Consider the following 19,904-nt stretch of genomic DNA (forward strand, 5'->3'; position numbering starts at 1 on the left):
TCACAAGGGAAACGGAGGCAGGGCCAGGTGTAGTGGTGCACCTCTGTGATCCCAGCACTTTGGGAGGCTGAGGCGGGAAGATCGCTTGAGCTCAGCAGTTTGAGATCAGCCTGGACAATATAGTAATACCTCATCTCTAAAAAAAATTAAATAAATAGCAGGGCATGGTGGTGCACACCTGCGGTCCCAGCTACTCAGGAGGCTGAGGTGGGAGGATCACTTGAGCTCCAGAGGTTGAAGCTTCAGTGAACTGTGATCACACCCCTGCACTCCAGCCTGGGTAACAGAGATAACCATCTCAAAAAGAAAAAAAAAGAAGAAACGATAATAGAGGGCCCACCTTGTGCCAGGCACAGTGGTCTAAGGGCTTTTCAGGCCTTAACTCATTAATTCTCATGAAATCCCGAAAAAGTATATACTATATTCATGGCCGGGCATGGTGGCTCACGCCTGTAATCCCAGCACTTTGGGAGGCCGAGGTGGGCGGATCACCTGAGGTCGGGAGTTCGAGACCAGCCTGACCAACATGGAGAAACCCTGTCTCTATTAAAAATACAAAATTAGCCAGGCGTGTTGGTGCATGCCTGTAATCCCAGCTACTCAGGAGGCTGAGGCAGGGGAATCGCTTGAACCCGGAAGGTGAGGTTGCAGTGAGCCGAGATCGCACCATTGCACTCCAGCCTGGGCAACAAGAGTGAAACTCCGTCTCAAAAAAAAAAAAAAAAGTATATACTATATTCAACCTCAATTTACAGATGAGGGCCAGGCACGGTGGCTCATGCCTATAATCCCAGCACTTTGGAAGACCGAGGCGGGAGGATCACCTGAAGTCAGGAGTTTGAGACCAGCCTGGTCAATATGGCGAAACCCCGTCTCCACTAAAAATACAAAAATTAGCCAGGCTTGGTGGCACATGCCTGTAGTCCCAGCTACTTGGGAGGCGGAGGCATGAGAATTGCTTGAACCCCGGAGGTGGAGGTTGCAGTGAGCCAAGATCGCACCACTGCACTCCAGCCTGGGAGACAGAGCCAAAAACAACAACAAAAATTATGGATGAGGAAAGTGAGGCACAGAAAAATGAAGTCACCTATCAGGATTTTGAGCCCGGGAAGTCGGGCTCTGCATGGTCCATGAAGGCTGGGAGAAAGCCCCTCATTCACTGGGACACACAGCTACTGCACTGCAATTCACAGTGGCCATACTGCAAGTGCTCAGGTGACATGTGTGTGGCTCCTGGCTGCCGGGTCACACAGCGTGGGGCTAGGAGATGGGCAGGAGGAGAATCAACCCCAATTCACAGATGCTGAAACTGAGGGCACAAAGGGGGAAGCCACTTGCTGAATGAGTCACAGCTGGCAAGCGACAGCGGCTCCGTTTTTAGCCAGCACGCTGCACAGCTGCCGCTGCATCAAAGGTTCTGCACAGGACTGCAAGTCCCGGGGGAAAGGCTGGGAAATACAGAGGGGAGGCAAAAGGAGAAACGCAGAGAGAAATAAGGACAAGGGCGGACAGAGGCGGAGCAACTCACAGTGAAGGACAGAGGAGGGTTGGCTGGGGGAATGGTGCAGCAGAGGGAAGGGTGGCGGTGCCCCAAGACCCTGCACCTTGAAGGGCCTGGCCCTGGAGGCCGCTGTCCCCTCCTCTCCCAGCCATGCACTTTATTCTTTTGCTCTGAGGAAAATTACAGCGACTGCCTCTGCCCCCCAAGCCCGAGCGGTTCCAGTCTGTCCCCCAATGAAACACGCCAGCCCTGAGTCATGGGTGGTCACCACTGCTGGGAGCAACGCTCCTGCCTGGAAGACAGCACAGACTGCGGGGCCACTGCTGGCATCCGCAGTGGACACTCAGCCGCTGTCCCTTCCCACCAGGGCAACGCATGGAACAGAGCTGGCCATCCTCAGGGGAGAGCAAGGGAAAGCTCATCACCAGAAGCCCAGTGCTGCCGGGTACAGGCACGAGGGCTTTGCTTTAGGCAACCTCGTTCTGTGCCTGGCTCCCCGGGTCTCTGGCGTGAGCCATGAAAGACAGCTGCTCTGTGCGGTTGCAAGCGGCCGTCGAGCTCCCCAGCTTCCCATCCCACGACCTTCACCCTCCTCTGCACAGAAGCATGGCTGCCGCCCTGAAAGAGCCTCTGTCTCCACATCCGCTTCAGTCTCCTGCCTCTGCTGCCTGCAGGCTGACCTCAACATTTCCATGTTTCCACCAAGTGGAACCATGCTATTGAATGCTGTTATTGTCGCCATCCCCGTTATCCTAGCAACATTTCCTAAGATTGGGACCCGGGACCACCGGGTCATGTGATGCACAGGCAGGTGCATCTTATATGGCCCCACAAGCCTACCTCCCTCCCTGCAGAAAGCCCAAGTCCAGGGGCTAGGGTTCCATCCTGTCCCCTCCACTCCCCTCCCTTCTGGGGAACTTGGTGAGCAAGTCCTGAATCCATATAAGCAATTGGCATTGGTATCTGTGGTTGTCTCTGTCGATCACAAGGGCTCTGGTAGAGGATGGTGCCCACATGCATCCATCTTTCCCAGCCCTGGACTCTCCCTGTTCTCCTGGCAGGTGCAGAGGCCAACGCACCTGACTTACATCTGTTGCCCTGACACGTGAGGAAAGAGGAACACAGAGGAGAGCTGCTGCTGCGAGGAGGGGGCAGGGGATCTGCACGCCCAGACACTCGAGGGATTCTAGAAGCTTTTACCCACTCCCCTTCGCAGCCAGGGCCTCAAGGGTGGGTCAGGCAGCCACCCCTGGATTAGCCGCCACTGCGTCCCTCCCCCAGCTCTGCTCACATCTGCTTCATTACCCACATGCCTCCCTCAGTAAGAAGGAGGTGTGGAAATAACAGCGTTTGTGGGCCCCATCCATACCCCTCCTCCGATGGCCTCTCGACAGCCCAGGAAGCATGAGAGCCGGTGCTCCCAGGCTGCTGCCTGGGCTGGGAACGCTGGCATCTGCCTCCTGCTTCCAGCCAGAGTCATCGACAATATGAAGGCAATAAACAGAGGCTATTCAGGCCAAGCGACCAGGGACAGATGCAGTCATAGATGGGAAGCCAGTGATACACAAAGCAGCACATTCTCTGGGACCTCAGGGGGCCCAAGAAGGGCAGCAGGGGCAGGTGGGGCTCACCCACAACCTGAGCGTCTGCTCAGGACTCGGAATCCAAAGGCCCCACCCACATCTGCCTCCACCTCTGTGGCTTTAGCAGGAATAAACCTAGAGGTCTCAGAACTGGGCAAGGGACACCTCACAGACGCCCACAACCCAACCGGACCCTGGCTTCTTTCACCGACATCAGTGAACTCCCTGCGCCGGGCCAGGATCAGGAACGAACCTGTGGCTGCTGACATGAAGTAAGGATACTCTCCCTTCAAGGACCTCATAGTTGGGACCAGGGGCCAATTACTTCACGCCACCCCATGTTTAAAAATGGGGATATTTCTTTTGTTGTTGTTTTGTTGGGTTTTTGTTTTTTTGAGACAGAGCCTTACTGTGTCACCCAGGCTGGAGTGCAGTGGTGCCATCTCGGCTCACTGCAACCTCCACCTCCCAGGTTCAAGCCATTCTCCTGCCTCAGCCTCCTGAGTAGCTGGAATCACAGGCACACAAATTTTTACTAGAGATGAGGTTTTACCATGTTGGCCAAGCCGGTCTCTAACTCCCAGCCTCAGGTGATCCGCCCACCTCAGCCTCCCAAAGTGCTAAGTGCTGGGATTACAGGCGTGAGCCACCGTGCCACGCCAGTACATTCCATGTGACAATCTGAAATGCTGCCTTCCACCTAGAAAAATAGGAAGGTCTGGATTCCCACCTGGCCCTAGCTGGACTGGCTGAGCAGGTACTGCCCAGTTTCCCACGGCCCCAACCCATCCAGTCCCCTTCCCTGCTTTAGACCCATTTGATAGATGGATCGTCTGAGGCCCAACCACGTGACACCATTAAGGAATTTCTTCTCAGACTTGCTGGAGTGTAAGAAATACCTGGGGCTACCATGATATTTGGGTCTTCAGTGGTTCTTTCTAGAATGCAAGGATGGGAAATAACTTTAGGCCAGCCCAAGTCACAGATCCCTGGGTCTTCCCCAGGCACTGCCATCCCCACTTATATGACAAATAAGGTCCCCATACTGGCCTCTGCCACCCTGGATGCCACCTGGCTGGATAAGCTGCTCTCAGGAGGGAGGGGATCTGTCTTATGTCCCCTCCAAGGCCCCCCACATCATCTGGCACCAAGTGGGCCCTTAAGAAAGTTTGTTAAATGAAGCCGAGACTGGTAGCTCACACCTGTAATCCCAGCACTTTGGGAGGCCAAGGCAGGCGGATCACTTGAAGTCAGGAGTTTGAAACCAGCCTGGCCAACATGATGAAACCCCGTCTCTACTAAAAATAGAAAAAATTAGCTGGGTGTGGTGGCACACGCCTGTAATCCCAGCTACTCAGGAGGCTGAGGCAGGAGAATCACTTGAACCCAGGAGGTAAAAGTTGCAGTGAGCCAATATTGTGCCATTGCCCTCCAGCCTGGGTGACAGAGCAAGACTCTGCCTCAGGGGAAAAAAAAAAGAAAGTTTGTTAAATGAGCAAATAGTTCTCACATAGTCAAGAGTCAAGAAGGAGGACCAGATCCCAAGTCTCCTGACTCCCAAGCTACTGGAGTTCAAAGTAGGTATATTTAGGAATATGTGTTTTCAAAGTAGGCACACCTGGGTTCTTGCTCTGACCTGGTCACTGTGAGATCTTGGGCCTTAGGTATTTTCTTTATTTGTTTAAAAAAAAATGGTGTCACATGCCTGTAGTCCCAGCTACCCTAGAGGCTGTGATAGGACGATTGTTTAAGCCCAGGAGGTCAAGGCAACACTGCAATGAGCTGTGATCACAACATTGCACTCCAGTCTGGGCACAAGAGCAAGACCATGTCTCTAAAACAAAATTTAAAAATTTTTTTAGCCGGGCACAGTGGCTCACACCTGTAATCCCAGCACTTGGGGAGGCCGAGGCGGGCCGATCACCTGAGGTCAGGAGTTCAAGACCAGCCTGGGCAACATGGTAAAACCACGTCTCTACTAAAACTACAAAAATTAGCTGGGCGTGGTGGTGCACACTTGTAATCCCAGCTACTCAGGAGGCTGAGGCAGGAGAATCACTTGAACCCAGGAGGCGGAGGTTGCAGTGAGCCGAGATCATGCCATTGCACTCCAGCCTTGGCAACAAGAGCAACGCTCTGTCTGAAAAATTAAATAAATTTCTTTTTTATATTTTTTGAGACGGAGTCTCGCTCTGTCGCCCAGGCTGGAGTGCAGTGACGTGATCTCTGCTCACTGCAAGCTCTGCCTCCCGGGTTCACACCATTCTCTGGCCTCAGCCTCCCGAGCAGCTGGTACTACATAGGCACCCGCCGCCACGCCCAGATAATTTTTTTTTTTTTGTATTTTTAGTAGAGACGGGGTTTCACCGTGTTAGCCAGGATGGTCTCAATCTCCTGATCTGCCCGCCTTGGCCTCCCAAAGTGCTGGGATTACAGGCGTGAGCCACTGTGCCCAGCCTAAAAAAAAATTGTTTAAAAAAAGGTGGGGAGGCCGGGCACGGTGGCTCACACCTGTAATCCCAGCACTTTGGGAGGCCAAGGCGGGCAGATCAGGAGATTGAGACCATCCTGGCTAACACGGTGAAACCCCGTCTCTACTAAAAATACAAAAAAAGTTAGCCGGGCATGGTGGCAGGCGCCTGTAGTCCCAGCTACTCAGGAGGCTGAAACAGGAGAATGGCGTGAACCCAGGAAGCAGAGCTTGCAGTGAGCTGAGATCGCGCCACTGCACTCCAGACTGGGTGACAGAGGGAGACTCCGTCTCAAAAAAAAAAAAAAAAAAAAAAAAGTGGGGAATATTACATTTTTCCATAAATGCTTGCAGAGAAGATACATAATGTACATAAAATGTTCACTGGATCAAGCCATGCTACTCCAGCCTGGGCAACAAAGTAAGACCCTGACTCAATAAAATAAAATAAAATTTGTAAATGTTCATTGCTTATAACTGTTAACTATAGCTCACCTAGGCTGGCACAGCCAGAGTGGGGAGGCCGAGCCTGCAAATGTGGCCAGTATGCTCCCATAGGCCAGGTTGAGTTGGAGGAAAAAGACATCACCTGGTTCACCCCAGGTACTTAAAGTTTCCAACCTCCTATTCCCCGGGGGTGACTTCCACCTCCAGCTTTCCTTACTGATAATTATAAGGCTAACACCTGGTGACCCCTAGGCACTGTTTACTGTGGCCTTGATGTCCTGACCCTGACGCTGTATTCTCACCTCCTGCCTCATCAAGGTATAGCCAGCTAGGCAGGGCAAGCTCAAACCCCTTTCTCCAGGTCATTCTACTCCTCAGTCACCTTCAACGGTCTTCCTCTTCCAGGCAGCTCTCCTAGGTTACCTAGGAATAAAGCCTGAAGAATAGCACCATTTAAAATCTTCCTTGGCAGCCGGGCGCTATGGCTTATGCCTGTAATCCCAGCACTTTGGGAGGCTGAGGCAGCAGGATCACTTGAGGCCAGGAATTTGAGACCAGGTTGATCAACATGGAAAAACCCCGTCTCCACTAAAAACACAAAAGTTAGCCGGGCCCGGTAGCGTACGCTTGTAATCCCAGCTACTCAGGAGGCTGAGGCATGAGAATTGCTTAAACTTGGGAGGTGGAGGTTGCAGTGAGTCGAGATGGTGCCCAGTGCACTCCAGCCTAGGCAACAGGGTGAGACTCTGTCTCAAAAAAATGAAAAAATAATAAATAAATAAATAAATAAATAAATAAGGTCTTCCTTGGATGCATAGCTGAATTCTATCAGACATTCAAAGATGACTTGGCAAGCCAAGCAGATCACCTGAGGTCAGGAGTTTGAGACCAGCCTGGGCAACATGGTGAAACCCCATCTCTACTAAAAATACAAAAATTAGCCAGGCGTGGCGGCACATGCCTGTAATCCCAGCTACTTGGGAGGCTGAGGCTGGAGAATCGCTTGAACTTGGGAGGCGGAGGTTACAGTGAGCTGAGATCGTGCCACTGCACTCCAGCTTGGGTAACAAGAGTGAAACTCTGTCTCAAAAAAACAAAACAAAACAAAGATGACTTGGTACCAATCCTGTTGACACTATTCCAAAAGAGAGGGAAAGAGAGAATCCTCTCTGAATCATTCTATGAAGCCAGTATCACCCTAATACCCAAACCAGGAAAGGACATAACAAAAAGGAAACTAAAGACCAATATCCCTGATTAACATAGATGCAAAAAACCTCAACAAAATACTAGTAACTAAATCCAACAGCATATCAACAAGATAATCCCTCCATGATCAAGTGGGTTTCATGCCAGGGATGGTTTAACATACACATGTCGATAAATGTGATACACCACGTAAACAGAATTAAAAATTAAAAAATCACACGATCATCTGAATAGACACAGAAAAAGCATTTGACAAAATCCAGCATCCCTTTATGATGAAAGTCTTCCTAAACCATCAGCATCCTATGAGCTTTCAGAGAACTGAAGACTCCATGAACCACGGACTGGGAGGCGTGAGGTCAGTGTGGCAGGAGGAGAGGTGCCTAAGGTCACACTGTGGCAATGAAAACTCAGGTCAGAGGTGGGAAATGCCAGAATTCAATTCTCTGCTTCAATACAGAAAAACTCCCATCCAGGGAGCTGCAAACCCTTTCTGGGTTTCCCAAGACTCTCTCCTCAAAGCCACAAATCAAGTACCACGAATCTCAGATGTGTGTCTGTACGTGGCTCAGAGGGTGTGAATGCTGGAGAGAATCCCCAGGCCTGGGGAGGACCTAAAATACTCATCTAGGGGCTGGGCGCGGTGGCTCATGTCTGTAATCCCAGCATTTTGGGAGGCCGAGGCGGGTGGATCACTTGACCCTAGGAGTTCGAGACCTGCCTGGACAACATGGCAAAACCCCGTTGCTACTAAAAATACAAAAATTAGCCGGGCATGGTGGCGTGTACCTGTAATCTCAGCTACTAGGGAGGCTGAGGCAGGAGAATCGCTTGAACCCGGGAGGCGGAGGTTGCAGTGAGCCAAGATTGCACCACCATGCTCCAGCCTGGCGACAGAGCAAGACTCTGTCTCAAAAAAAAAAAAAAAGAAGAGCAGGCGCAGTGGCTCACGCCTGTAATCCCAGCACTTTGGGAGGCCAAGGTGGGCAGATCATGAGGTCAGGAGATCAAGACCATCCTGGCTAACACAGTGAAAACGTGTCTCTACTAAAAACACAAAAAATTAGCCAGGCATGGTGGCGGGTGCCTGTGGTCCCAGCTATTCGGGAAGCTGAGGCAGGAGAATGGTGTGAACCCGGGAGGCGGAGCTTGCAGTGAGCCGAGATTGCGCCACTGCACTCCAGCCTGGGCAACAGAGCAAGACTCCCTCTCAAAAAAAAAAAAAAAAAAAAAATACTAATCTAGGTCAGTGGACCCCAGTCTCTGGTCCTTTAGTTTTCACTGGTTGGAAACAGAATGAGAAAAACTATCAAAGTTAAAGTACTATCCTTTATTCTGACATTTTATACTTGTAACTTTTTTAGTGTCAGAATAGACCATGGGGTTTGTTGATCTTAACACCCATCTTTAGCAAAATTATAAGTTGGCAACTCTGTATCTGTTCCTAAGTTTTTTTTCACTGGTCCATGAAATCAATGGCTGGGAACCGCTGAACTATGCTGCACCCTCCCTCCCACCCTACCCCACCCCTGTATCTCAGAGGGTGGCAAATTCCAACTGTCCCTTTTCTACTTCCCAAAACTCCAGGGGAAAAAATCCTGGTATCTCAATGCATGACCCTTCAGGCCAGAAGTCTTTGCCAGGACCTAACTGGACTCCTGCTTGCAGCAACTCAAATGCACATTTCCTCTTCCTGCCTTCAATAGACAGCCACGCCCACACCCCTGCTGCCAGGGCTTCTCAAGACCTCCCCCAGCTTGCTTAAGTCACCAACATCAACACCCACACCATCCCACACAGGGGAAAAGTGATGAGCCACCTCCCAGCTCTGCATAAGGCCTGGACAGAGAGACTTAAGGCCTGTTAGGCTCAGAGGATGGGGTTGGGAGGGAACTTGAGGGTCCCAGAGTTCAGCTCCACCCCACCACCATTGTAGAGAGAGCTGAGGTGCAGAGAGAGGAAGAGACCAGCTAACGTCACAGAGTCAGCAGCAAGGCCAAGAGCCTTCCAGTCATCCTTTGAATCCAGGGCCAATCCAGCAACACCTGCAGAGTGGATTGAGCACAGCTTAGAAGGAGGATGCCACCTCCTTCCCGAGTCTCCACTACTCCACATCTGCCAGGGTGTCCCCTATAAACGCTGACCACCAAGTGCAGTTCCCTTCCATCCCAAGCAGGGGTCGGTCCCTTCCCTGAGCCAAGCAGGTCTGAGGACAGACCTGGGGCCATGGTAACAAAGTCATCCCCGCACTAAACCCTGCTACTTCCAAATGCCAAATCTCCCTAATAGGGAAGTCTCCAGTTTCTGCCCAACTTTCTAGAAGCACCCAGGTGTTGGAGGCCCCATCCCCATAGCAGGAACTGCTACTACAACCACCACTAGTGCTTGATGTCCAGACCTAAGACCAGTTTCTAGCCCAACTCTCAGAAACATCTTGGTGGCCTCAAAGGATACTCCTATCCTCTGGTCCAAGCTTCCACCCAGTTGTAGATTGTCTGCAAGCACCTTGAGTCATCCATATCTACTTTCTACTTGTATGCCTCCAGTGACAGGGAGCTCACTACCTAACAGAGCAAGTTATTTCAACACCACTCGGCTATACTCCTTTCAGGAGACAATCCTTCACCTGGCTGACTGCAGTTACCATATGCCTTCACTTCCTCATGTAAAGCAACCCAATTCCTCCTTCAAACACATCTCACCTGATGTGGTTTCCAGACACACCCACACCCCACTTCAGGTTGATTTAACCTCCAAAGTACAATGACCAAGAGGAACAAAACCTCCTTCCTACAGGCTAGGTGCGGTGGCTCACATGTGTAATCCTAGCACTTTGGGAGGCCAAGGAGGGAGAATCCCTTGAGGCCAGGAGTTGGAGACCAGCCGGGACAACATGGCAAAACCCCACCTCTACTAAAAATACAAAAATTAGCTGGGCATGTTGGCGCACGTCTGTAATCCCAGCTACTTGGGAGGCTGAGACTTGGGAGGCTGAGACTTGGGAGGCTGACATGAGAACTGCTTGAACCTGGGAGGTGAAGGTTGCAGTGAGCCAAGATCACGCCACTGCACCCTAGCCTGGGTGACAGAGCAAGACTGTCTCAAAAAAAAAAGAAAAAAAGCACAACTCCTATGTGTGGCCTGACCCCCTCCCTCTACACAGCAGGACTATCACCTCTCTCATCCTAGGTAGAATGCTTCCATTAATGCAACCTAAGAGATAATTCCCTGACCCCTAGGTCATCAGCCACATCTACTAGTGACTGAGCCAGGAACCAGCCAAAAGCCCTTAGTCCATCTCCAGTGAACTGGAGGCAAGGAGATCTGAACTCACTCAGCCCTCATGACCACCCTGGGGAAATCTTAATCCTATTTTACAGATGGGAATAGAGGCACGAAGAAGTGAAGTCACAGCCTCTAAGTGGTCGATCCAGAATTCCACCTGAGGCCATGCACAGCCCTTCCCCAGACCCTGCCTCAGGGCAAACCCACCCCCATTACCCAACACACAATCTCCACAGGAAGTCCTGCACAGGGATTCGAGTCTCCCCTGAGAGGGCCCAAGGCCTTCTCCAAGGGAGAGAGAATTCCAGCCCGTAGGTGGTAGATACAGGTGGGATGTGAGGGGAAAACTGCACGGCTTTTCCCTCCAGCCCACGGCTGGCTCCCCTCGGGGACTGCCAATGGCCTGTCAAACCCACCAGGCCCAGAGCAACCCTCAGGGGGCCTAAAACCCTGGCTCAGGCCGCAGGAGACTCGAGGAGCCCAGAGAGTGCCCCTGGAAACCTACCGGAAGGGATGAAAAATGTGTAGCCCTGCTTCAGCTCAATTCTTTGGCATCGTTCCACACGGTCTCCCAGAAAGATGTCACTCTGTTTGCCTGACAGCACCCACTCCTCGTACAGCGCCAAATTGTGCAGCGTTGGAGGAATCAGCCAAAAAATCTTGGGAGAAAACACAGGCAGTCAGCTGGAGACCCAGGCCCAGACAAGACCCAGAGAGAGGGCCCCACCTGCCTGGCGGAAGGGGAGGGGGCGAGACAAGCTGTGTGTGGGGTGGGGGGTGTGGAGAGATGGCAGATCCATCCCTCTGGACTCTCTGCAAGGCCAGGTCCCTAGAGCCTCTGGGGAGGCAGGAAGGGCTGTGCCCACCTTCAGGGAACCTCCATTCCTGCTGAAATCCCAGGATGGGAGTACTTCCTGGACTGGGTGGGACATGCTTTCTCCCGAACCACAGGCTTGTCTAGGAGGTGGGGGAAGGAGAGGAAGGGAATTTCCTAAGTTGTAAGATAAAATAGCCCAGTAAATAAACCCAGCTTGTGCATACTTTGGAGGAGGAGGAAAAACATCTGGAATCAAGTGGGTTGACTTCCTCCCAGAATTTCTTCCAACACGTTCAGTTAAAACAAACGCACATGCAGACCCAGCCAAGCAGGGTGGCACAGGCTTATTTTCAAGAAGCACCCACCTCCATCAGGGACACCCACATCCCCACGTGGACACGCAACAAAAGCAGACACAGGGAGCACCCTTAGCATTCTGTCCCCAGTGCAAAATGTTCCTAGAGGCAGGTGGTGCTGGCAACTAGACTTTAAAGTAAAAAGGTCCCAGGGCAGGAGCTGAGATGACAGCCAGAGAAGATGAATGCTGGACGTTCTCGAGCCAAACCCAAGCTTCAAATCTGGCCCAAGGAGCTTTGAACACCAGACTGGGTGAGTGGAGCAGGCCTGCATGGGTGACTAGATGCGATGTAAAAGGGCTGAACTTGACCTTGCCCTCCAGAAGGAGGAGGTGGTTCTAGGGAAAGAAGCGACCCTGGGCCAGGAGCCATGGCCCACGCCTACAATCCCAGCACTTTGGAAGACCAAGACGAGAGGATCACGTGAGCCCAGGACTTTGAGAACAAGTCCCAGCTACTCGAGAGCTGAGGTGGGAAGATCGCTTGAGCCCAGGAGGTGGAGGCTACAGCGAGCTGTGATTTCGCCACTGCACTCCACCCTGGGTGACAGAGCAAGACCCTATCTCTTAAAAAATAATAATTTTTTAAAAAAAAAGCCGGGCACAGTGGCTCACGCCTCTAATCCCAGCACTTTGGGAGGCCAAGGCGGGCGGATCACGAGGTCAGGAGATCGAGACCATCCTGGCTAACACGGTGAAACCCCGTCTCTACTAAAAATACAAAAAATTAGCAGGGCGTGGTAGCAGGCACTTGTAGTCCCAGCTACTCAGGAGGCTGAGGCAGGAGAATGGCATGAACCCAGGAGGCAGAGCTTGCAGTGAGCCGAGATTGCACCACTGCACTCCAGCCTGGGCGACAGAGCGAGACTCCATCTCAAAAAAAAAAAAAAAGAGTAATCCTTAAAGTACTCCTGGGGCAGGGCTGGTTGGAGGAGGGAGGTGGGAGGAGAGGGAAAGGTAAGTGAGCCCCTCCCCACACAAACAGCTAGAGATGCATAGAAAGTTAAAGGCAACTGAAACTCACCTTCCCACCCCGGAAAACATGGTACCAAACGGAAGTGCCTCCAAAGTCGATGTGGAAGTCGGTGAAACAACCTTTCACGCTCATCAGACAGTACCTGCAACACAGAGGCAGGGAGACAGAACACAAGTCAAGATCTAAATCACAAGACGTAAGCAAAGGACTTCAGAGGTCCTGAACTGGTGCCCTTTTATAAACGCTGACGCTGGGGAATTTTCTTTTTTTCTTCTTTAAAAATCCAAATGTAATCGGAGTTCCCCACGGGGGAAGCCCCTGTGATCAGGTGACAAATCTCAAGCACTGGTCGCCTACCTACCCCAGAGGCTGGGAGTGATACACTTGTTTTCAGGTTCTTGCGAGAAGTGGCAACCCACAGACCACTTTACAGGTTCCTAACGGGGTGGGTTTCTACCTTTGCCCCACCTCTGCCCTCCCCCAGTTAGAGGCTTCCTCTCTGCTCCTTCACAGCTTGGATACCTGCAGTTCTCCCAAGCTGCCAGCCCCCTTTGTAGCAGCTGGGCCCCCTGGAATTCAGTTGTAAACCACCTGCACAGCTTGCCAATTACCAGTCCCCATTCATCTCCTCATTCATTCAACCAGAGGTCCAGCCCCGAGCCAGCTTTGGCCTTGAGAGAAATGCATAAGAATGCAGAAGACCCCTGCCCCTAACTGTGCGACACTCCTAAAGAAGCAATGCACAGGAAAAGTTAAATGACCAAAAAAAAAAAAACCCACACACACAAAAAACAAAAAAACAAAACTGCAATTGATTGCCAAGTAAGCAATGCAGCTAGAAAAGTAAGGGGGGGTTCCAGCCCCAAAAGACCAAGCGGTGTCTGGTCCCACGTATACAAAATGTGCAGAGTAGACAAATCTATAGAGACAGAAAGCAGATTAGTGGGTGTCAGGGGCTGGGGGGCAGGACAATGGGGAATGACTGCTAATGGGTACAGGGTTTCATTCTGGGGTGATGAAAATGTTCTAAAATTAACTGTGGTTGCAAAACTCTGTGAACATACTAAAACCCGTTGAATTGTACACTTTTACATGGGTGAACGGTCTGTGAATTATGTCTCAGTAAGGCTGTTATAAACAAGTAAAGAATTTAAGAGAAATTAAATTGGGGGTGGTGGCCATGCACAGAGGAAGAGAAGGAGGAGGAAGAACTTGGACCTTGGAGGCTGGGGCCGGGGAGTGAATCCAGGGGAAGCAGGAACTGGCCAGCAGCCATCCCCTTCTCAGTGCTATGGAGGGCTGGAGAGCCCACCCTTCCTTGCAGAAACACCCAGGGCTCCCCTCCTCCCTCAACTGCTGCCCTCTTAGGAGTGGGGCAGAGCTGAAGGAGGAGGGGGCACAGAGAAGGCTTCCAAGTCCAGGCCTGGCACATGACGGTGCCAGGGACCCCTCCCTGCCACTTGCCCCTTCCCACTAGAGCCCCAGGTGGCACGGATGGGCAGCCTCCCCACCGCTCACGCCCATGCACCTTGGCACCTCCGGAGCCCGCAACACATGCTTACCCCACTGACCTCTTTTCCCCGCTGCACTTTGCCTTTCCATGGTTTGGGGAAGAGGGAAGGAATGGGGCGGGGACGGACAGGGAGGAGCCAGCAGCGCGCCGGCACGAGTGGAGATAATGCGGGGAGTGGGGCTGAGCTGGTTAGAAGGCGGAGGGCTCCTGGTGCCCCCTCCCTCTGGCTGCCTTTTGCACCTCGCTTTCAGGTGGACCGGGGGCTCAGCAGTATGCAGGCGGCGTGCCCGCGTCCCTCCTCCCCATAGGCTGGAAGGAGCCTTAACCATGTGTCTGCAGGAGGCTGACAAATCAGAAGGCCTTCCAGTACATCAGAGCCCCGCTGCCTAGCAACCCCATCGGAGGGGTGTAGTTGACAGCACAGGACGCAGGCTGTCACGAAGACAGGCGCGGGCTGCGGAGCTGGCAATGGGGTGGTCAAAGTCCCGACTCTGGGCTCCACACCGTCCTCACCTGTAGGCCGGCTGGGCCCAGCGGGGTCCCCGCCTGAAGGCCTGGGTGATCCTCTTCTCTCTAAGGAAAGGGGGGGTCCTGAAGCCCTCACCCACCCCACCCCCACGGACCACACTGGCCTCTTCTCTCTAAGCACCACTTCAAAATATTAGTCTTCATTTCCCTAAAACCATCTCTTCGTCTTGGTTTTTTTTTTTTTTTCTTTTTTTAATCTAACCTTGGTTTCCACCCCCTCCAGGCCTCAGCTGAACACAGTCTAGGGAAAACAATCTAAGTATGTGCGGGGCGGAGCCCAGAGAACGTGCTTCTCTTGTCGACAGCTGGAAGCCCGCGGGTACCCACAGCAGAGAGGAGAGGACAGGAGCTCGCCTCTTGGGCTGCGGGCCCCAGGGCTGCCTGGCTAACCAGGTCACCCCCATCCTGCCATCCTCCAGCTCCCCGCAACCCCGACCTCCCCAGCACGTGCAGAAAAGAATCGCTGCAAGCTGGCTGCAGTGTGCAGGGAAAGTTCTCCAAGTTGAGTCTGTGTCTGATCTGCCCTCTGGGTCACCCTCCAGCATCCAGAGGCCCCTCGGGGGGCTGGGGCCGCCTCTTCCAGACCTGCCTCTCCCGGAGAGGCCCCTCCTCCCGGTGTCCCTCATTTCCTGGCCGCCAAGCCTGGCCGCCCCTCCCACCCCGCGATCGCAGGCATTAGGGGAGCCAGGGTGGCTGGGACAGCGCGGCTTTGTCCGGCCCCTGCAGCGACAGGCCACCCCCGCTCCCGCCCCGCGCTGGCTCCGGGGCTCCCCCCTGGCTGGTTTGCTCGCTCGCTCTGGCGTGACGCCTTTGCACTGACCTCTGCAGCTTCCTCTTCCCAAGCACACCGCAGTCACATGGGCACCCCGGCTCGGTGCCACGGCCGCTAAGCTCTCCCCACGGCCAGCCGGCTAGCCCGGCTTCCGCCTGGGCCTCGGCCGCCCCCGGCCGCCCCCAGCTCAGGTGGCTTCTGTGCAGCAAGGCACCCTCCAAGTTGGCGGCAGATCATCGGGAGCCCCCGAACCGAGCCCTTGGGGGTTCCCGCCTGCCACGGCCGGGCCAGCCGGGGAGGAGGGCGGCAGGAGGGTTGCTGCACCTGCAGCACCAACTTTGGGGCGCTGCCTGGGGGCTGCGGAGGCGGGGCGGCCCCGCCCCACCTTTTTCCCTCCAACTTGGCGTAACTCCCCCGGTGGCTCGGGAGGCGTCCCCGTGGGGAAAGGGCCGGGAGGGGCGCCGGAACGCTGACACCCGAGGGGCGCGGGAGGTGCCAAGAGCGCGCCGCACACTCGCACCCGACCCCGGGAGACACAAAGAGCGGCTCCGCGACGCCGGCCCTGTAGCCCGCGGGCGGGAGGCCACCCACACCCGCCCCGCGCAGCGCCACAAAGGAGGGGGCGCCCGGGCAGCGCGGCCCGCGGTTACCCTCGGCGGCGGCGGCGGCGGCTCCCGTGCGTCCCCTTCGGCTCCCGGGCGTCCCCTTCGGCTGCGGAGGCTCGACGCGCGCCCGGCCCCACTCCCGGCGGCAACGCGAGCCGAGCCCCCTCCACGGCGCTGCCAGGCCCCGGCCGAGGACGCGGGGCCCCCGCTCGCTGCCTTCCTTCCGCGGGGAGCCGGGCGCTGCCTGCGCTCATGCCCGCGCTGAAACTGAACACCCGCGGCGCGGGGCCGCCAGGGAGGCGGAGGGAGGCCGCGGGGCGACCGGGAAGCAACGCGGGCCGGCGCCAGGAGACGCCCCTCGCCCGGCCGGTGGGGGTGCAGGGCTGGCTCTCCCCACCCCCCTGAGCCCCGTGTTCCATAGCAGGTGACGGCCAGCAAAGCCACCTTCCTAAGATGTGCCCCTCCAGATACAGCCATAGAAAGGACCCGAGCTAGGGGCCGCGGGGAGAGTGGGATCCGGAGTATGGTAGCGCTGAGAAGGGGGAAGCCGCTCTGACCCCAAGGCCCACGCGCTGTGTGACCTTAAACAACTCACTTCCCCTCTCTGAACAGCATCCTCACTGCTCGGCACTGAAGTTCAATTCTGCATTCTAAGATGTTCTTTTACCACCCCTTCCCCTGCCTGGTGGCTTAGTGACTGTGTACCCTACATCATAGCATGGTTGAGAGACTCCTTTGAGATAAATACATATTCACCGCATCATCCAAACTGTGGTACCTGGATTACTTAATCCAAACTTCACAACAACCCTAAAAAGTCATTCCCAGGATTCTTCCTGTTTTCAGATAAGCACAGGGAGGCTTGTGACTCAAGCCTCGAGTTCGGGTCCAGCCTCCAGTTCGGGTCACCAGCCTATCAGAGGCAGTGCTCACCCAGGCAGCCTGTCTCCCAGTCCCTCAGCTTTGCCCCCATTGGTCTACCTGACACACCTCAACTCCAGGAGGAGTCCAGAGGTTACAGCCAAACCTCACCACTAACCTCCAGCTGCAGGTGGTGATCCCGCTCAAATCAGAAGTCCCACACTCAAGGTCACCAGAGTCCCCGCCCTCCTCCCACCCTGTCCCACACCCTTCTCCCAAACCACAAGGGGGCTGGAAATGGTCCCATAGCCACTGCAGGGGCAGATTCCAGCCTCTCCATTCTTTCTCCAAACCCCAGCCACCAGGACTACTGAGCAATATTAATTAACAGGTTCTAATTACCAGTGCTAATAATAATAATAGCTGTTTACATGCGTGATCTCGTTTCACCCCTAAGACAACCAACATAATGGTGCGCGCCTGTAGTCCCAGCTACCAGGGAGGCTGGGGTGGGAGGACTGCTTCACCTCACGAGGTCAAGGGTGAATCACGACTGCGCCACTGCACTCCAGCCCGGGTGACATAGGAGACCCTCTCCCAAAAAAAAAAAAAAAAAAAAAAAAAAAAAGAAAGAAAAGGATGTGGCATTAAATGAGCTAGGAGAGGAGACAGTCCTGATGGCCGGACCAGGCTATCCACATAAGAGAATTGTATTTTTAGTCACAAATGCCTCAGCTCCTTGAAGGCAGGGACTATATCCGATTCATCTGTGTAACCGTAGCACCCTGCAGCAACCCTATAATTACTTCACTGGGCTCTGTGACATTGGACTGATCTTCCCCCTTTCTGGAACTCAGAGTCCCACTAATCAGGGGCCTCTAACTGGTGTCTTCGTGGGTCACACCAGGCCCCAGAAGCACTTGGTTTGGCCAGCAGTTTTTTTTTTTAACTTTTAAAGGAATTTCTGAGTTATCCACAAGCCTCATCAGCCCCTAATGTGTTTGTTTGTTTGTTTGTCTGTTTGTTTTTTAAGACAGAGTCTTGCTCTTTTGCCCAAGCTGGAGTGGAGTGGCATGATCTCAGCGCACTGCAACCTCCAACTCCCGAGTTTAAGAGATTCTCATGCCTCAGCTTCCCAAGTAGCTGGGACTCCAGGGGCACACCACTACACCCGGCTGATTTTTGTATTTTTAGTACAGATGGGGTTTTGCTGTATTGGCTAGGCTGCTCTCGAACTCCTGGCCTCAAGCAATCCACCCACCTGGACCTCCTAAAGTGCTGAGATCACAGACATGAGCCACCGCAGCTCGCCTAACCCTACTACCTTGTACTCACTTGTTACCTGCATTGAACCACTATGAACCTCAGTTTCCTTGTCTATAAAATGGGGATAGTAACCCATGCCTCCCTTATTGAGATATGCATGCCAAGTGTCTATGGTGGTGCGTTGGTCCATACACACAGGAATGCTGGCTTTCTTTGTTCCTCTTTTAAAGGTAGAGCAGTTGAGAGAAAAAGCCAGGAATCTAAAGGCCTGGGGTCTAGTGCATGGCCCACAGCATCCTCCCTGTGCGGGGCCGGTTTCCCTATCTGACATATTACACAGGGATGATCATTTATAATGCCAGCAAACACAGCTGATGAGAGAGTAGGTCTTGAGGTTAAGGGTGAATGTGCAATGTAGACATAAAAGCCCCATACGGATGTGAAGGAGGGTTGACTGAAAAGTAGAGGATGAGGGCCAGGTGCAGTGGCTCACACCTATAATCCCAGCATTTTGGGAGGCTGAGGCAGGCGGATCACCTGAGGTCAGGAGTTCAAGACCAGCCTGGCCAACATGGTGAAACTCTGTCTCTACTGAAAAAATGCAAAAAAATTAGCCGGGTGTGGTGTTGCATGCCTGTAGTTCCAGCTAAATCGGGAGGCTGAGGCAGGAGAATCACTGGAACCCGGGAGGCAGAGGTTGCAGTGAGCCGAGATTGCATCACCGGCACTCCAGCCTGGGCAGCAGAGCGAGACTCTGTCTCAAAAAAAAAAAAAAAAAAAAAAAGTAGAGGATGCCAGAATTCCAATGCAGCCACATGGACAAATATCTTGCCCACCTGTGAACACTCTTCCACATCCACTGTGGGCTCTGTCTCCCCCATAGCATGGGAAGAAGGCAGGGCAGAGATGGCAGGACCCCTACATTGTAGAAGAAGAAACAGTCCCTTCAAGAGGATGGGCCAGGTGCAGTGGCTTGAGTTTGTAATCCCAACACTTTGGGAGGCCGAGGCGGGTGGATCACCTGAGGTTGGGAGTTCGAGACCAGCCTGACCAACATGGAGAAACCCTGTCTCTACTAAAAATACAAAATTAGCCAGCCGTGGTGGCACATGCCTGTAATCCCAGCTACTCAGGAGGCTGAGGCAGGAGAATCGCTTGAACCCAGGAGGCGGAGGTTGGGGTGAGCAGAGCTCGCACCATTGCACTCCAGCCTGGGCAACAAGAGTGAAACTCCACTCAAAATAAATAAATAAATAAGCCAGGGGATAGTGGCATACACCTGTAGTGCCAGCTACTCCAGAAGGAGGGAGGAGGATGCCTTGGGCCCAGGACTCTGAGGCTGCAATGAACTGTGATTGTGCCACTGCACTGAAGCCTTGGCAACAGAGACAGCCCCTGTCTCAAAAAAAAAAAAAAAAAAAAAAGGAAGGACGGAGGGAAGGAGGGAGGGAGGGAGGGAGAGAGGGAGGGAAATTTTATTTATCAAGCAGAATCCTATAGATAAAAGAGAAAAAAAAAGAAAGCCTTGCTGGAGTGAGAGAGTAGCAGAAGCCCCAAAATGTACACAAAATGTGCCCCAAAATGTGCCCAGCCCAGTGCCTCTGTTTCCTCTTCTCTGTGTGTCAGGTTCTCACTCCCCCAACAATTTCCCCAGTTCCTCCTGCCACCCCCAGAAAGTACACAGGGAAGAGAACCCACTCAACTATCAATTATCTG

The 19,904-nt window shown here is 53.5% G+C and overlaps 1 protein-coding gene across 46 annotated transcripts in view, besides 10 other annotated features; it reads right to left on the bottom strand.

Annotated features, from left to right (window-relative positions):
* The window catches only part of KDM2B (lysine demethylase 2B), a 173,819-nt gene that overhangs the window by 113,345 nt on the left and 40,570 nt on the right, over positions 1 to 19,904 (bottom strand). For 32 of the 46 annotated variants that reach the window (XM_047429682.1, XM_047429681.1, XM_011538867.4 and 29 more), the window contains 2 exons: positions 12,692 to 12,785; positions 11,001 to 11,154 (listed from right to left, as the gene is read on the bottom strand). In XM_047429682.1, coding sequence (XP_047285638.1) covers positions 11,001 to 11,154; positions 12,692 to 12,785 — 248 coding nt within the window. Of the gene's footprint in view, positions 1 to 9,177; positions 9,256 to 11,000; positions 11,155 to 12,691; positions 12,786 to 14,214; positions 14,433 to 14,669; positions 15,346 to 15,504; positions 15,744 to 16,106; positions 16,619 to 19,904 lie in introns of those variants that run through there. The other 14 variants (XR_007063140.1, XM_047429691.1, XM_047429689.1 and 11 more) reach the window with 6 other exon arrangements.
* Positions 1,407 to 1,596: an enhancer, noted in NCBI's record as "active region_7171". NCBI's record gives its function as "activates an Ori minimal core promoter by ATAC-STARR-seq in GM12878 lymphoblastoid cells {active_cell/tissue: GM12878}" and the evidence as "EXISTENCE:reporter gene assay evidence [ECO:0000049][PMID:35858748]".
* Positions 7,693 to 8,194: an enhancer, noted in NCBI's record as "H3K4me1 hESC enhancer chr12:121967403-121967904 (GRCh37/hg19 assembly coordinates)". NCBI's record gives its function as "activates a minimal SCP1, AML or CMV promoter by ChIP-STARR-seq in naive H9 embryonic stem cells {active_cell/tissue: H9 hESC(naive)}" and the evidence as "EXISTENCE:reporter gene assay evidence [ECO:0000049][PMID:30033119]".
* Positions 11,665 to 12,335: an enhancer, noted in NCBI's record as "H3K4me1 hESC enhancer chr12:121971375-121972045 (GRCh37/hg19 assembly coordinates)". NCBI's record gives its function as "activates a minimal SCP1, AML or CMV promoter by ChIP-STARR-seq in primed H9 embryonic stem cells {active_cell/tissue: H9 hESC(primed)}" and the evidence as "EXISTENCE:reporter gene assay evidence [ECO:0000049][PMID:30033119]".
* Positions 12,788 to 13,027: an enhancer, noted in NCBI's record as "active region_7172". NCBI's record gives its function as "activates an Ori minimal core promoter by ATAC-STARR-seq in GM12878 lymphoblastoid cells {active_cell/tissue: GM12878}" and the evidence as "EXISTENCE:reporter gene assay evidence [ECO:0000049][PMID:35858748]".
* Positions 13,218 to 13,287: an enhancer, noted in NCBI's record as "active region_7173". NCBI's record gives its function as "activates an Ori minimal core promoter by ATAC-STARR-seq in GM12878 lymphoblastoid cells {active_cell/tissue: GM12878}" and the evidence as "EXISTENCE:reporter gene assay evidence [ECO:0000049][PMID:35858748]".
* Positions 13,648 to 14,440: an enhancer, noted in NCBI's record as "H3K4me1 hESC enhancer chr12:121973358-121974150 (GRCh37/hg19 assembly coordinates)". NCBI's record gives its function as "activates a minimal SCP1, AML or CMV promoter by ChIP-STARR-seq in naive H9 embryonic stem cells {active_cell/tissue: H9 hESC(naive)}" and the evidence as "EXISTENCE:reporter gene assay evidence [ECO:0000049][PMID:30033119]".
* Positions 14,304 to 14,383: an enhancer, noted in NCBI's record as "active region_7174". NCBI's record gives its function as "activates an Ori minimal core promoter by ATAC-STARR-seq in GM12878 lymphoblastoid cells {active_cell/tissue: GM12878}" and the evidence as "EXISTENCE:reporter gene assay evidence [ECO:0000049][PMID:35858748]".
* Positions 14,824 to 14,933: an enhancer, noted in NCBI's record as "active region_7175". NCBI's record gives its function as "activates an Ori minimal core promoter by ATAC-STARR-seq in GM12878 lymphoblastoid cells {active_cell/tissue: GM12878}" and the evidence as "EXISTENCE:reporter gene assay evidence [ECO:0000049][PMID:35858748]".
* Positions 15,214 to 16,263: a silencer, noted in NCBI's record as "silent region_4975". NCBI's record gives its function as "represses an Ori minimal core promoter by ATAC-STARR-seq in GM12878 lymphoblastoid cells {active_cell/tissue: GM12878}" and the evidence as "EXISTENCE:reporter gene assay evidence [ECO:0000049][PMID:35858748]".
* Positions 16,374 to 16,523: a silencer, noted in NCBI's record as "silent region_4976". NCBI's record gives its function as "represses an Ori minimal core promoter by ATAC-STARR-seq in GM12878 lymphoblastoid cells {active_cell/tissue: GM12878}" and the evidence as "EXISTENCE:reporter gene assay evidence [ECO:0000049][PMID:35858748]".

The sequence above is a fragment of the Homo sapiens genome, chromosome 12, assembly GCF_000001405.40.
Source record: "Homo sapiens chromosome 12, GRCh38.p14 Primary Assembly".
Lineage (NCBI taxonomy): Eukaryota > Metazoa > Chordata > Mammalia > Primates > Hominidae > Homo > Homo sapiens.